The sequence below is a fragment of the Homo sapiens genome, chromosome 6 (genome assembly GCF_000001405.40).
Source record: "Homo sapiens chromosome 6, GRCh38.p14 Primary Assembly".
Lineage (NCBI taxonomy): Eukaryota > Metazoa > Chordata > Mammalia > Primates > Hominidae > Homo > Homo sapiens.
In genome coordinates this window covers 155,825,356-155,841,699 of record NC_000006.12, presented here as the reverse complement: position 1 = coordinate 155,841,699, position 16,344 = coordinate 155,825,356, and the positions used below count along the sequence as shown (strand labels likewise).

The 16,344-nt window shown below is 36.8% G+C and overlaps 2 long non-coding RNA genes across 3 annotated transcripts in view; one reads left to right on the top strand and one right to left on the bottom strand.

Annotated features, from left to right (window-relative positions):
- The window catches only part of LOC105378072 (uncharacterized), a 91,283-nt gene that overhangs the window by 42,924 nt on the left and 32,015 nt on the right, over positions 1-16,344 (bottom strand). The window lies entirely within an intron of this gene.
- Positions 1-16,344, top strand: part of LOC101928923 (uncharacterized) — a 487,547-nt gene that overhangs the window by 454,572 nt on the left and 16,631 nt on the right. The window contains exon 5 of the long non-coding RNA XR_001744423.2: positions 8,806-9,005. This is a non-coding gene — a long non-coding RNA (uncharacterized LOC101928923). The remainder of the gene's footprint in view (positions 1-8,805; positions 9,006-16,344) is intronic.

The following is a 16,344-nucleotide window of genomic DNA, read 5'->3' as shown; positions in this document are numbered from 1 at the left end:
TCCCCTATGATTATTTACAAGAGTATTTTAAATTGCAAGTGTTTAGAGACTTTCCTGTTATCTTTCTGTCATTGATTCTACTTTACTTTTATTATGGTTATATAACCTACTTTTATTATTTAATTTAGTTATTTCACATGTGTTTAAAATGTTATCCCAACTTCCACCCCTACCTCCCTCAGGATAAGATCTGTCTTGGTGAATATTCCAAATGCATTTGAAAAAAATTTACATTCTGCTGCTATTCGGTGGAATATCCTTTTTTTTCTTTTCTTTTTCTTTTTTTTTTTTTTTTTGACGGAGTCTTGCTCTGTCACCAGACTTGAGTGCAGTGGCACCATCTCGGCTCACTGCAGCCTCTGCCTCCTGGGTTCAAGTGATTCTCCTGCCACAGCCTCCCAAGTGCTGGGACTACAGGTGTGCAGCCACCACACCCAGCTAATTTTTGTATTTTTAGTAGAGACGGGGTTTCACCATGTTGGCCAGGATGGTCTCAATCTCCTGACCTTGTGATCCACCCGCCTCAGCCTCCCAAAGTGCTGGGATTACAGGCATGAGCCACCATGCCCGCTGGAATATTCTATAAATTAGATTCCATTGGTAAATGGTGATATTCACTTATTCCATATGCTTGCTGATTTTCTGTCTCCTGCTGCTACAGATTACTGTGAGAGTGGTGCTGAAGTCCCTAACTACAACTGTAGATTTGTCTATTTCTCTTAATTCTGTCAGTTTTTGTTTCATGTGACTTGTCATCTGTTTTTAGGTATGTACACATGGAGGAATGTTATATCATCCTGGTAAATGGATACTTCTATCATTATGTAACATCTTTCTCTGTCTCTGGTATTTTTCTTTGCTCTGAAGCCTACTTTGTCTGATATTAATGCAACCACTCACATTTTCTTTAGATTAGTGTTTGTATGGTATATCTTTTTCTATCCTTTTACTTTTTGCTTGCCCATATCCTTAAGTTTCCAATGAGTTTACTGTAGGCAACATGTAGCTGGGTCATTGTTTTTATCCATTCTGAGAATCTGTAGTTTAAATAGCATTTTTAGACTATTCACACTTAATGTAAATGCTTAGACTTAATTATAATATTATTTATTTGATGTTTGTTCTTTTTTTATCCCCCTCCCCTTTTCTATCTTCTTTCTGTTTATTTTGAACAGTTTTTAGTATATCATCTTAATTTATCTATTGCATTTATTACCATATCATTTTGTCTAGATGTTTCAGTGGTTGTTCTCAGGTTTACAATATATATACTTAAATTTCCACTTAGAATCAATATTTTTCTAGCTTAGCTGGAGTATTCTGATTCAGTGTATTTCATGAGGCTGCAGTCATCCCAGGACTTGGCTGTGGTCAAAAGACCTGCTTCCGAACTATTTCATGTGGTTGTTGGCAGGCCTCAGTTCATTACAGGCTATTAGAGGGCTGCAGTTTCTTATAATGTGGGACTATCAATAAGGCTGCTCTCAATATGTTAGCTTGCTTTCCGTGGGGGTGAATGGTGTGTGTGTGTGTCAGAGAGAGAGAGAGAGAGAGAGAGAGAGGAAGAAAGAGAGAGAGAGAGATAACCAGGTAGAAGTTGCAGTCTTTTTATAATCTATTCTCAGAAGTGTTTTACCATTATTTCAGCCAGCTATTTGTCACACAGATCAATTCTGGTAAGGTTTGAGGAGGTCCACATGAATCATTTGGTGCCTTTGGGTCTATCACATCACTATCACTGCTAGGTCCATAATTCAATGTTCTCTAGACTGATATGAACATTCCCGTTCCAGTTTAAGTCAGTTTAGTTATCACTAGATTATTACCTGTGGCTGTAAGCCTCATGATGCTAGGGGAGAGCATGTAGCGTAATTTTAAATCTTAGCATTTATCTAAGGCCTCTCAATAGTTGAGAGAAGTCCAACGTATATCTTTGAAGCTTATAGAATAGTAAAAAGTAAAAAAGAGCTAAGAAAGTTACAAAAATTGTGGTATATTTTAAGTGTCTACATTTAATGTTTTAACAAAGATACACAAATATGCTGACTACATTGATGGCTTCCTTCAAAGATACCCTGACAAGTCTAAATATAAAGATTTTCATGAATGTAAAACCCCAAAAAAGCACAGCCATATGATCTTTCCCTTCTAATAACCTATGGCCAGTTACTGGGAGGCCACTTTATTTTTTCAAAATCGACCAGTAACGCTCACAAATTCACAAAGTCGCCAGTATTTCCTGCTTTGGTGTTCTGATAATGTCTGGGATTTAAGAGCTAGCTGCTTAGCAACACCGCTTTTCTAGGAAGCATGAAAACCAAGTGTGCTTGTCTGACCCCTTGATCACTAATTATATTTGACTTGGAGCTCAGTGTAGAATTTTGACTTGTGGCAACTGATCAGTCACTTGGTGGCATTTATTGAGTTCAGTCCATTCTACTGGAACTGAAGATAAAGAGGAAGAGAAAAGGCCATTGTTAAGTCTTAGGGTCACAGTTGGTACCATTCATGATGCTGTAGCAATAAGTTTTGTTCCCTCCTCCCATTTAATTTACACTTGTTATATTAGTTGCTTTAGAATGATGTTTATGAGTGACATTTCTCAGGCTGCAGTTCCTAAATAATTACACATTTTTTGGAAAATGGTTATTTATACAATGTACTCTATGAGTCAAATATTTGATCCTATTTTCCCGTTAGCTTTGGAAACACAGAAGCCCAGAACCCAGTTGCAGCCTCCCTGTAGAAAGTGCACAAGACCTGTGTCCTGCCTTCTTCTTACTGACTTAGCCACATGATTCCTCTTATTTTCCTTCCTTCTGTTTTCTTCTCTTCCTTATTTAGTCACCTAATTTCCAGTAGTTATTTTTTAAACCTCTTAAAATTATATATAGTTACAAAAAATGTTAGAAGACAGGGAGGAAGAAAGGGAAGACTTGTAAGAAAGCCTTTTAATAGTAAGCATATATTTTGAATAATTAGAGTTATCTAAATTGCAAAGCACTTCACTGTGAGCTAACGGGGCAACGCTTACTGCAATAGAGGCCATGTGGTCAATTTTCAGATGAGTTTTAAATGAGGTTCATACTTTGAGTAGAGAATATGTGTCCATAAGTCCATCAATTAAGGCTGCGACTCACTTTTAAGGGGCTTAAAAAGATATTAAATTAATTCCACTTCTTTTTCTAATGATTTCCTGTGGTGAGAAATACTATCCGTAAGTGATATTTAATTTTCTGTAATTAAGTTTATCTGATCCTAGTGATGGGTACTTTCTTATATTTCTGTGTATGATAATGATGTCTATAATAAGCACTAAAAGAGCCTAATGTAACTTTTGAATCACAAGTCCACCCCCCCAAAAAAAACCCTAAAAATAAAACATCTAGTGTAGTTTTGAGTACCTTTTAATAGTTTATTTAATTAAAAATTGGTGATATGGTAAATTGCTATTAACCTGAATGTCCCTCCTCCATTACTACGTTAAGTAATATAGCATTTATAGAATTATATGTCATGGTTAAGACCTCTTCATGGTTGTTGACGCCATTTGGTTTTGTGTATAAAGAGCAGGTGTCTTTTCTAAATACCAATCCGCTTATCAGAGTGGTCCTTGTATCGGTCTTCTCTTTCCTCTTCTGGGATCAATAATGAACAGCTTTGCAGGAATGTCTTTGAAATGAGATATTGGGCTCCTGAAGCCAGTGCATAATTGTTGTGTGAAACAGACATTTAGAGTCTGCTCATGGAGGCTTGTGTTCTTATTCAGTGACACGTGTGCTGAGATTTCTCCTTCCTAGGTTTTTGAAAAGAAGGCAAGCCTATGGTATTCAGAAATTTTATTGTCTTTTTTTTAAAAATGCCAACTACAGCTTCTGTTTCTATTCGCTAGATTTCCATTATAAACGGGTAGTTTATAATGGAATATAAAGGGCTCCTGTCACTGAAGACTTCTCACTTATGTCTGCTATTTGACATGTCACCAGCAATTAAGGATAGATCCAAGACATCACAGAGTAAACATACCTCAAAACTCACAGAGGGAAGGAAATGCAAAATGATGTCAGGACAGAAACAGATCCAGGAGGAATATCACCACGATGCAGCAGATCCTTGATTTGAACATCCACTTAACAATAATATAGATAACACGTGAGACATGTTTTCAAAACTGGATACAGGTTGTGAACTGTTTTGATGCCAGATGGTTATTTTTGTTGTTGTTAAATGGTGCATGTATTCATAGTGGAAGTCAGTAACTCACAAATATTTGTAGTAGATTTTAATAGATCCCAAAAGTGAAGGTAAGATTTTCTCATACAGATTCTTTCTTCTCTAGCAAATCACTTCTAGATTCTAATGGAACAAAAGAGAAGTTCTATGACCAGTTTTTCTTTTTCTTTCTTTTTTTTTTTTTTTTTTTGTGTGTGTGTTAGATGGAGTTTCACTCTTGTTGCCCAGGCTGGAGTACAATGGCATGATCTTGGCTCACTGCAACCTCCGCCTCCTGTGTTCAAGCAATTCTCCTGCCTCAGCCTTCCATGTAGCTGGGATTACAGGCATGCATCACCACGCCCAGCTAACTTTGTATTGTTTTAGTACAGACAGGGTTTCACCATGTTGGTCAGGCTGGTGTTGAACTCCTCACCTCAAGTGATCCACTTGCCTCAGTCTCCCAACATGCTGGGAGGGATTACAGACATGAGCCACTGTGCCCGGCCCTATTACCATTTTTTCTACATAAGAAACTACAAAGAACATTTGAAATTATTGAGTATATATGCTCAGAATTTCTGGCAGATTCACTGAAGGCCATAAAAACCAACTGAATGAACACTTCTTTTTTTTTTTTTGACAGGGTCTCACACTGTTGCCCAGGCTGCAGTGCGGTGGAGCAGTCTCAGCTCACTGCAACCTCTGCCTCCTGGGTTCAAACGATCCTCATACCTCACCCTCCCAAGTAGCTGGGACTACAGTCCCATGGCACCATGCCCGGCTAATTTTTGGTAGAGACAGGGTTTCACTGTGTTGGCCAGGCTGGTCTCAAACTCCTGGCCTCAAGGGATCCACCCATTTTGACCCCCTAAAGTGCTGGGATTATAGGCGTGAGCCACTGCACCCAGCCTCAGTGGACACTCCTGATCCGCACACTCCTGGTACCCTTGACAGACGTGTTTTGAGGGTACAGATGATAACTGAAGAATTAAATAGGTATGAAATTAGAAGATGTGTTCATAAACATTTTGGTCAGACTTGCATGGTTAGGTTCTTCACCTCCCCCTATGAATATGTCATGAAGAAGCTCAGCTGCTACAACAGAGGACTTCCAGCTTCTGAGTTCAGTTTTGTCTGAAATCTTCTGGCAAAAGGATGTCACTACTGATAAAAATGCACAACTGCATAATTATACTCATGAGCTTCTTCTGTGGGAAGCAGCGTTTGACAGCAAACGTACTTCGACCATGTGACTAAAGCTACACTACTATTTAGGTTAGGATTAAAAAATGTAAGAAGACATAGAAGGACAACTCTGTATATAAATATCAGGAGAGGAACGAGAAAATTGCATGTTCTATTATAATTTCATGGACTTTTTGCTTATTTCCACAGATTTGATTATTAATAATAAATTACACATCTAAAGGAATTTATAGCTCCCCATACAGTACCTAATTTGATATTCATAGTTCTGTAAAAGTAGGTATTATTATTGTGATTTTACAGATGAAGTGAAACAGAGTAATTTAAGAGACTTACAATGATAAAATTGTAGAACTGGAAAGGAACTTAAGATCATTGTCTGGTTTGCAAACATTTTCTCCTTTCTGTTTCTTTCTCTCTCTTTTGTTTTGGTCAAGAAACATTTTTTTCCAACCAGAATGTTCATGTAGAAACTCATCTTATAAAACAGATTAAAGTGCTATGTTATTTACTTTTAAGTTCAAATTTATAACATTTTTTACTTATAAAATCAATGTGAGAACAATGAAACTGCTTGGACAAATCCAACATTTAAAGTTGGTTACGAATGTCAGTAGGCATAATATATTTTCCATAAAATTCTTCTTTACTCCCTTTATTTATAAGTAAATTGCATTTACTTTTGATTTCCTGTTTATTTCTATAGGTTTTAGTTGTGTGATATTAAAGATAGTTGCAATTGGCATCAATTAGAACTTGCAGGTGGCAACTGATTTTTTTATTTTGAATAGATTCTGATTTCAGAGTATTCTTAAAGTTATCCCCAAATGCAAAATATAATTAATTGAAAAATTTTATTTCACAGTTGAATTGCTAACAGTCTCTAATTACTTTAGTCTTATTATAAATATAATAATCAGATGGAAAATATCTCAAACTTATAATACAATTTATCGCTTAGCATAATCTGGTATTATCGCAACACAGTAAGTTATCTATTTCTACCTATAACACAAGTAACTATAGTGTTGTGATAAAAACATGAAATAAATAGATGCTACTCCAGCCTCTCTTGGCCATTCAATATATGTGCTGGGACAACCAGTTAAAAACAATCAATCAATTGAGCGCATATCTTTATATATGCTTGCCTCTGGAATTCCACTAAAATAATAAGAGAATTTTTTTTAAAGAATATACCCTCAAAGACAAAGAGAATGGTTGAAGAGACAAGAGCTGGCTGGGCGTGGTGGCTCACGCCTGTAATCCCAGAACTTCGGGAGGCCGAGGCGGGAGGATCGCCAGGTCAGGAGATCGAGACCAACCTGGCTAACACGGTGAAACCCCGTCTCTCCTAAAAAATACAAAAAATTAGCCGGGCGTGTTGGTGGGCACCTGTAGTCCCAGCTACTCGGGAGGCTGAGGCAGGAGTATTGCTTGAACCCGGGAGGCGGAGCTTGCAGCAAGCTGAGATCACGCCACTGCCCTCCAGCCTGGGGGACAGAGCAAAACTCCGTCTCAAAAAAAAAAAAAAAAAAAAAAAAAAAAAAAACAGGAGCCACTAAGAGATATTACCAAATTTTGAGAAGACAGAAAGCTGACTGAGGATAGGTAATTGATATAGCAAAACAAGAAACATAACTTTAGATTTCTGCAGGGAAATTTTGCAAGGCTGTTCACCCCACAAAGAGAGACTCAAGGTGAACTGGAAAGTGGTGAGAGTTTCAAGGCTGAATACAGAGGCATTGACTGGATGTCTGTGTAAGGAAGGGTTAGGTACCCAGATACCTTCCCATCCTCCACACAGCCAGTGACAAACGTGCTCTGTGTGGGTTGGGATTTTCATACTGATAGCAAGGATCCCTTTTTGGAGAAACTAAATTGTCCCAAGAGTAGACTCCACAGAAATGGACATTTACATGCCTACATGAAAATGCCAATTTATTATTTTATCACTCTAGAGTGCAGCTCTCTCATATAACAAACTCTTTCCATGCAAATAGGCTCCTCCAGTCATTTTCTTAGTGATGTATTTTTCAATCTGAATGGCAGCCAAAATCATCATAGATTATAGGAAAGTCTCCAACATGAAAGGCAGAATCAAAATAAATAAACACTATAATGTACTCAAGATAAAGGGACAATACAGGGAGCAGAAGAAAACTTCAACTTAGGCTCACTAATATTGTATTAGAAAAAAGAGACTATTAGTCCATTTCATGAGAAATAAGGCTGTTAAAAGGAATATTCAGAAAAAAATTCATAGTGATTTGACAAATATATAAAAAAATTTCTAGTAGATATATAGAAATCTAAGCATATAAAAACCAAAGCAATTGCTAATTCCAGAGTAACAAGTAGTCAGAGGAAGCAGAAAATGAAGGTTAAGAAAAAACAGTATGAACAAAGAAATGAGGCTAAAAGGACCAGGGGAAAGAGAACAAGTAATAATACTTACATAAGAATGAAAAGTAGTATACTACTTGGCTCAATAGTAAGCAGTGTTTCGAGGTCAAAATAAATAAAATCTTTAACATTATTTCTTTTTCTTTTTCTTCTTTTTTTTTGAGATGGAGTCTCACTCCGTCACCCAAGCTGGAGTGGCTGGAGTGCAGTGGCGCAATCTCGGCTCACTGCAAGCTCCGCCTCCCGGGTTCACGCCATTCGCCTGCCTCAGCCTCCTGAGTAGCTGGGACTACAGGCGCCCGCCACCACGCCCGGCTAATTTTTTGTATTTTTAGTGGAGATGGGGTTTCACCGTGTTAGCCAGGACGGTCTCGATCTACCGACCTCGTGATCTGCCTGCCTCGGCCTCCCAAAGTGCTGGGATTACAGGCGTGAGCCACCACGCCCGGCCTCTTTAACAATATTTCAACCAAATATGATGATGTAACTTTTTAGAGGAAAAAGATAGGTAACTGGAGAGAGGATATTTCCCCTCTTCTCTTAAAATAAGAAGTCAGTAAGTAACATCTAAAATAAATAGATTATGAAATAGCAAATGATATTAGAAACATGCTTCCAGGAAATGAGATTGAGAAAGGGTGAAGCAGGGAATAGTTTACATTTGTTAGAAGATTTTAATACAATTTGTTTTCTTTCTTTCTTTTTAAACTATAGGCGTGTATTGCTTTGATACACACATAAGCAAGTAAATAAACTTCCAGATGTAAGGGCCAGACTGGAACTGACAAAAGGATGCTAAAAATGTTTCTGTTTTCTGTGACACTTACATGACTTGTAAATATTGTAAAACAAAATATTTAAAAAGAAAATGTTTGGAAAGTATAGAAGACAGAGTTATTGAAACCCATGAACTAAGTCTCGTACAATTTGAATCTTTGTGTTTTTTCTAATACATCCTTTCTTTATCTTACTTCCCAGTCTTGTGGTGATCACTTAGCTGCTGACATGGTGGGATGGAGGATTCCAGAATGCGTCATGACTCACTGCCATTGTGTTTACAGACTTACAGCATACCATGAAGACTCTACATTAAAGCCACTTCTTAAAGCAAATGCCATGTCCTACAGTGCCATCTGCAGAGAAGCAGTTTGCACTTGACAGAAATCAAGGTCTTCTAAGTAAGTATTGGCTCTGTGGACCCAAACCTAAAATGTGTCAGATAGCCTCCAGTTCGAGTGCAACTAGAGTGTGAAAGAGTCGGTTAGTAGATGTTATTCTATTATCACTGTTGAATTCATCCATTCAGCAAGTAGAAAATCAGAACTCTGAGAAAACAAGGCGTTTAATTTCTAAGCATCGATATGAGGGAAGGTCTTGTCCAATACAGTAGGAAGCTGGATAAATCGCAGAAAGAATGAACGAACTGGGTATTTGATAGGAATAAGATTACTAAAAAGCAAAGAAAAAAGGAGGAAGGGAACTCAAACATTAGGTAGAAGCAGTTAGAACCCAAGATAATCCTCAACTAGTTTCTAATTTTTACTAAGACTTTTTCTAAAGATCTGTTTTAAAACTAACTTTTTGTATAAATCCAGATTTTAACACTAAACAAGCAAGTTAAGTATAGTAATTCAAGGCCAAAAATGTGCCCAGGCCAGCCCGTGTGTCAAATGTCAGATACACACTCCCCAAGGGGCAAAATGCTGCTCTAGGGCTGTCCTCTGAAGCATTATCCATCATTATGGGTTTTCTGAACTTGCAGTAAATTGTGTCATTTCTAATAGCAAATTGAACATTTTCCTGGAAAGGAGATGTTAACATTGATAATGAGCTATAATGTTCTAAGAGAATGCACTAAACATTTTGTTGAGAGGACAATTTGTTAGTAAATAATATAAAATAATAGAAGGGATTAAAGATAGGCCAAAAGTTATAAATTATTAAAATCTATTCTTGATCATACAAGAAGTAGCACAAAGAGAACAAACTCACAAGTTGTCAGATATTCCACATTTTTGCATGTGAACCAAACAAATATGCATTTTCAGATCCCAAACGGATACCATCATCAAAAGTACTGGACCCGGAATCAGGTGTCCTTCCTTTCATGCACCTCAGCATGATCATAGGCCTATTGTTTAGTTTAGACATATGTATTCTTATCTGTAAATGTGCTTGTCCTTGGGAGCAGAGAAAGGAAAACTAGACTAGATTATGGAAGATAATCTGTAGTCTATAGTTAGCGAAGAAGACTCAACAAATACGATTTTATACCATATCTTGACCTTCAAATTTTTTTAAAGCAAAGATTAGTATTTTATTAAAGTTAGTACAATTTGTAAGTTTGACCTCTCGGAACCTCCCATTTTGACAAATTAATCAACCATTTCCTACTGGTCCTCATTCTGGTGGCAAAGTCACATGATATAAGCTTCAATGCTTGCACCAGAAATGAAAGTTTCAGCTCTCAGAGAAACCCATTACAAAGGTTTTGCTTTGTTAAATGTCCTCATTCTATAGGCTAGATGACTAAACTTTTATTTATTACTTCTTTTTTTTTTTTTTTTTTTTTTGGCAGAGTCTCACTCTGTCTGAGGCAGTGGCGAGATCTTGGCTCACTGCAACCTCCGCCTCCCGGGTCAAGCGATTCTCCAGCCTCAGCATCCTGAGGAGCTGGGATTACAGGCACCTGCCACCATGCCCCGCTAATTTTGTATTTTTAGTAGAGATGGGGTTTCACCATGTTGGCAAGCTGGCCTCAAACTCCTGACCTCAAGTGATCCACCCTCCTCAGCCTCCCAAAGTGCTAGGATTACAGACGTAGGCCACCATGCCAATTGTCCCTTTGTAAATGCTGTATAATTTTGAATACGTAAGAGTCAGTCTTGTGTCCCTATCTTATTTAGCTTTGGGAGAACAAAGATAGCAGAGGATATTACAACTTCCAAGGACCCAAACATCTGTTCATCAATAAACTAAACCAAAAGCGCATTGGTAAAATTCAAAAGCCAGATCCTCTATGTGAATCACATTTAGTATCACTGGATAATATCGAGACTCTCAAATAATTTAAAAAGGAAACAGATGGTTCAACAGTACTGACTGGGTGCTTCCTCAAGTGGTTATCCTCACCACCCGGTGGAGTGGCTACACTGGTCCTGTTTCCTACCATGCTTTCTCATTTCACTGCATTCCAGCGTTGTTTAGGGCCAGGGAGTTCCGTCAGCTAACAAAGCCCAAGAAAGCTAATGCCAAGTGCAACATGTGGACATAGCTTTTGATGGTGTAAATTTCACCTTTAATGCTAATGGACTTAAATCTTTTAACAAGCAAGATAGAAGATGATATGGAAGAGCTCATGTATACCTGTCATTACTACCACATTTAATCAAATCTAAGAAATCACTGGATATCAGAGATGTTAAGATGTGAAAAAAAGTCCTTAAAAATTGCTGAAATACGGCATTTGAAAACAACTAAGGTCCATGCTGTATTCACCATGGCTCACCTGTAGCCCTTTTCCAAAATAAAAATAAACACTAATATGTGGCCATTGGGTTGCAAGATCCTTGAGATTCAGGACTCCTATAAATGACTTTAGTGATGGCTCAAGCAGATATCATTTTAAGATTTCTCTGCTGTGACAAATCTCATTTCAGTTTTAAAATGCCTTGTGATTACACAGTACTATTTGCATGGTGCCCCTTTTAGCTTTTAGGTCACTTATATTTTGTCAATCAGTCCTACAGTGTTATTTATTTATCTATCACTTAATAACCATGCAGCAGAGAATAATTTCTCTGGCCTAGCATGGTAATTTGTACTATAATTTCACCCCCGCTGCTGTAAACTTAAATTCAGACACAGCTATGATTGCTAAAATTAAGATTTCTAGGTCACTTTTCAGCTTCTGTGTTCCTGTCTTTCATCATTTCATCTCACTCCATCTTCTTCAGCCGAAGTATGGTTTGTCAAACACATAAGCAAAGAAATATGCCAGTTGTTTCTTTCAAATGTGGTGCATACTTGATAGAGCAGGTAACATTCAAGTACTTACATGAACTGGGGTTTTTTTTATGGCCATCCTGTATATCCTAAAGTTAAATTCAGAGAAATGTGAAAGGGGATATTTTTTAAATCACAGTCAGGTTACTTCCTAGAAACTTCTGCATTAGGAAAAATCAAATGGATAAAGAGAAATAATCAATATTACTAACTGGGAAAACTAAGCACATCCCAGAAACAAGTAGACATTGTCTGTGGCAGGATTTCTCCAACATGTCATATTTTAATGGCACAGTCTTTTGAAAAGGGACATTTTTTTCCTTTCATTTTCCATTTTTACACAGGAAATAGTCTTTGAATTGTGCCAAATTAAGTAGAGTATGCATAGTGGTGGGGCAAGTGGTTAGAATCTTCTCAAAGCTCATCGTAGTTCATATTTGAGAGTATGAGCAGAATTCCTCAGCAAGATGGGAGATGTGATTTCTGAAATATCAAACCTTGTCCTTTATTTTTCTAGACTCATGAGTTTCCAGCTGTTATTTAAAAGGGAACTCTGAATTCCATTTCCCTCAAATCGTTCAATATTTTAAGTAAGAGGTGCTGTCATCTCTTTCTCCTTATTGTGGGTTCTTCTCTTTTAGGCCAAGTCTCTGTTTCTATAAATGTGGACTTTTAAACAGGTTGGAACAGATTTATTGTGAGTCACTGTTATTATCCAAAGAGGCAGGAATCTCACTTGCAAAATAATTGAAAATGAAGGACATTTTCTTCTTAAAAATCACAATGACATTTTCTATTTATTTATTTATTTCTGAGATGGAATCTCCCTCTGTCGCCCGGGCTGAAGTGCAGTGACATCATCTCAGCTCACTGAAACTTCTTCCTCCCCAGGTTCAAGCGATTCTCCTGCCTCAGCCACCCCCGTGAGTAGTTGGGATTACAGGTGCCCACTAACACGCCCAGCAATATATATATATATATATATATATGTAGTATTTTTAGTAGATATGGGCTTTCACCATGTTGGCCAGGCTGGTCTCGAACTCCTGACCACAAGTGATCTGCCTGCCTCAGCCTCCCGAAGTGCTGGGATTACAGGTGTGAGCCACCATGCACAGCTCACAATGGCAATTTTTATGAACACTTTTATTGTAGGCACACATGAAACAGAGTGAATCAAGTTTATTGAATACTTTTGATGCCAAACGCAGAAACTTGGACAACAAAACCCTGCAGGGTTGCCATTTTATAAGTTGCAGATATTAGGTATCTTGATAGCTACCTCCTGGCTTAGCCACTGCCCACGCCAAAAAGAGCCTCTCCAGCAGAGTGAGAAGTTCTGAGTTTGAAACTCAACTTCAACAACTTGCTGGTTGTGACTTTGAACAATCCACTCACATTTTGTAACATCTCTGCTTTGTCATCTGAAATATGGCAGAAATAATACCCATCTCTTGAATATATCATGAGTAAATTTTTTAATGCATAAAACCTCCATGCTTCTGCATGTAGTCAGCATACAGTAAATAAAGTTTCCTTCTCCCTAGGTAAGAAGGACTGCTTCATAAATTATAAAGCTTTATGTGAATGCGAGAGATTGTTATTAATATTGTGCTGCTTCCAGATTCCAACTTTTACAAAAGAGTTTTAGAAAGAGAAAAGGAATTTAGTCATTGTCTCACAATACCTGGCATAAATAAGTACACAATAAAAGTCAACCTTCTCATCACTTTCCAAACTTTTCATCATTTATTAGCACAGAAATGGCATGTCAAAGAATTTTTCTACCTCAAAGCAATTTTTTCTCTTTGTTTTGTCTTTTTTATCTAACATCAAAAGTATCCTTTTGAAAATTCATAAACATGGTAGAAAAGAAATACCAAATCCATAGCTCTTCTCTCTTTTTCTTGGACAAAAATGAAGATTGTATGCATTTGGAAAGCAAAGGAAAGGATTGGAAAGGTGTTCTGATTCATCCAGTGCAGTCTTTATCCCTGTGTATGCATGTCCCAAAGTGGACATACATCTCTATTTATTTTTTTTGCAAATACTGGCCATGTTTTCATTTTCCATCCTTATAGGAATTAGACAGGACAAGGTACACAGTGATTATTACTCTGTACAAGTTAGGGTAGGGTTTCTGTTCCTTCTAAACATTCTCGGCTCTATCATCACTATTCAAATCACAAATCCAGGATTTACAATCCATTCTAATCCTCCACTGAATCATTTTAAATTAGTTATTTGCACATTCAATTACAGAAACCAGGAAGTTAGCTGGGTAGAGTTCCAGTTTATATCTCTTTTTATTTTATGTATTGTTGAATCTCATTATTATCAGACACATTCTTCAAAACAGATTAATATATTTTTTTGGCTTGTGCAATGGCTTTTTATTAGTAGTGATAGTATTTTGGAAGATAACACATGTCTTTCTTTACATCATATCTACCCTTTCCGCATAATTCCCTTGTGACTTTGGCCACCTGTTTTTGATACTGAATTGGGTCTCATTTTCATCATATACAATTTCAGATTTTAAAATTGACTTAAACTTAGAAAGTTAGACCAGTCTTTTTGTTAAATATGACTCAGCTAATTTATAAATGTGGTAAAAGAAGAGACTTTGTTATGTAAAGCATATAAATACTTTACTTTATAAATAAGACCATACACTTTCAAGTAGAAAAAAATAGGAAATTCAGCACCAAGGTGCACTTTTCATGTGCAAGTCACTTTGCGCTGCGTGATTTTAGTAATTCAGCGTGTAATGTCACAACCCTTACCACTGTGAAATTTCCACAAATCCCAAGCATGACAAAGGTCGTAATAGTTTAGGACCATATGGGACTAAGCATTATAAGAAATCAAAATGTGTTATCACATATTTGAACATATCACATATTAGAACATCAATGGGATATGCCAGCTATACGTCAGCTATGGAACTAAGGAGTCTAATTTATCACACTGAAATTCTATTCTATTTGAAGATACCTAGCGAAACTGTAGAGATGTTTAAAGTGGATTTTCCCTATGAAAGAGTCTTCATAAATCTCACAGATTTTGCAATATTTAAAACATGAACTAGAAAACCCATGAAAATATATAAAGCCTTTAGGTATAATAACCATATCCCTTGACTGATGTATTTTAGTACATGGTATCACAAACTTTCCACAAAATAAAACATGAGATGTAATAAATGTTTTTATTGTATCTGAGATGTGTCCTTTTTTTCATTTTTTATCAATAAATATATGAGCCATGAAGCATGATATTAAAACAAAAACCCATGAACCTACCACCTAACCTAGAAATATAATAGAACCAATGCCAGAATATTATTCAACTTGTTTCTGAATTTAATAAAAAAATACTGTATGTGTTCTCAGTATCTTCTTCCACTCAACATTATGCTTCTAAAATGTATTGAGGTCAATTAATACATCTGTAGATCACTAATATTTACACATGTACAGTATTTTATTAAGTGACTACATCACAATCTATCCATTCTTTCATTAATGGGCATTTAGTTGTTTCTAGATTTTTTTTTTCTTATCACATGCTGCTATTAACAGTGTCATAATTTCTTCTAGGGGGTAGGCGTGCAAGAATTGCTCTAGGGTATTTATCCAGGAGGGGATCTGCTAGAACATAAAGTATTTTAGCTTGGATTCCACAAAATCCAGGTCCTGAGACAAATAATTCCATGCATAGGAGTTTTTTTTTGGAAGATTATTACAGGAAGCAAAGTGAGGGAGTGGGGAAACACAGCAAGGAAGGATGAAATGCCAATAAATGGTATATTCATGTGTGGTTACTGCTGTGGGCAGCTGGAACCAATTCCACTGGAAACATTCAAGAGACTGTTAAACCTACCTCAGAATTATCCCTCCAAGGAGAAAGAAAGCTGGGCTATTTATCCACCACTTCTTACCCCTCAGTGTGCAGTGTGGCTCTGGAGGTATTTCATGCTCTGGCACTGTCAGGCCAAGCAAATCCTGGCAGATGCTTGAGAAGCTATCAGCGTGTATGGAGCCTGTTCATCTCACCTGCAGTCAGCAATAGGGTTGGCCAAGAGGATGGAGGTAGGGCCCTGACGTCTCTACTACGTGAAGCTGTTACATGTTTAAAGTTGCAAGACAATGATAAATTGTCTTCTTAAGTGATTGGCTTTGTTTAAATTTTCATCAATAGAGAATAAAAGGTCCCTTTGCCCAGCATCGTCATTAAATTGTGAAAGTTTTAAACTTTTGCCAATCTATTACATGGTGTTTTAAAACATTTATTGTATTTCTCCAATTGCTAATAAGACAGAAAGCATGTTTATATAAACTTGTTAAACATTTGCATTTTCCCTCCTCCTTAGGTCCATCTATTTTAAACAATTATTTTATATAATTTTTTCAATTTTTAGAATTTATATATTTTGGACACTAAATTTGACAGATATTTGTGTGTCAAAAAGTTCTTAATTTTAACAAAGTTGAATTTATCAATTTGTTA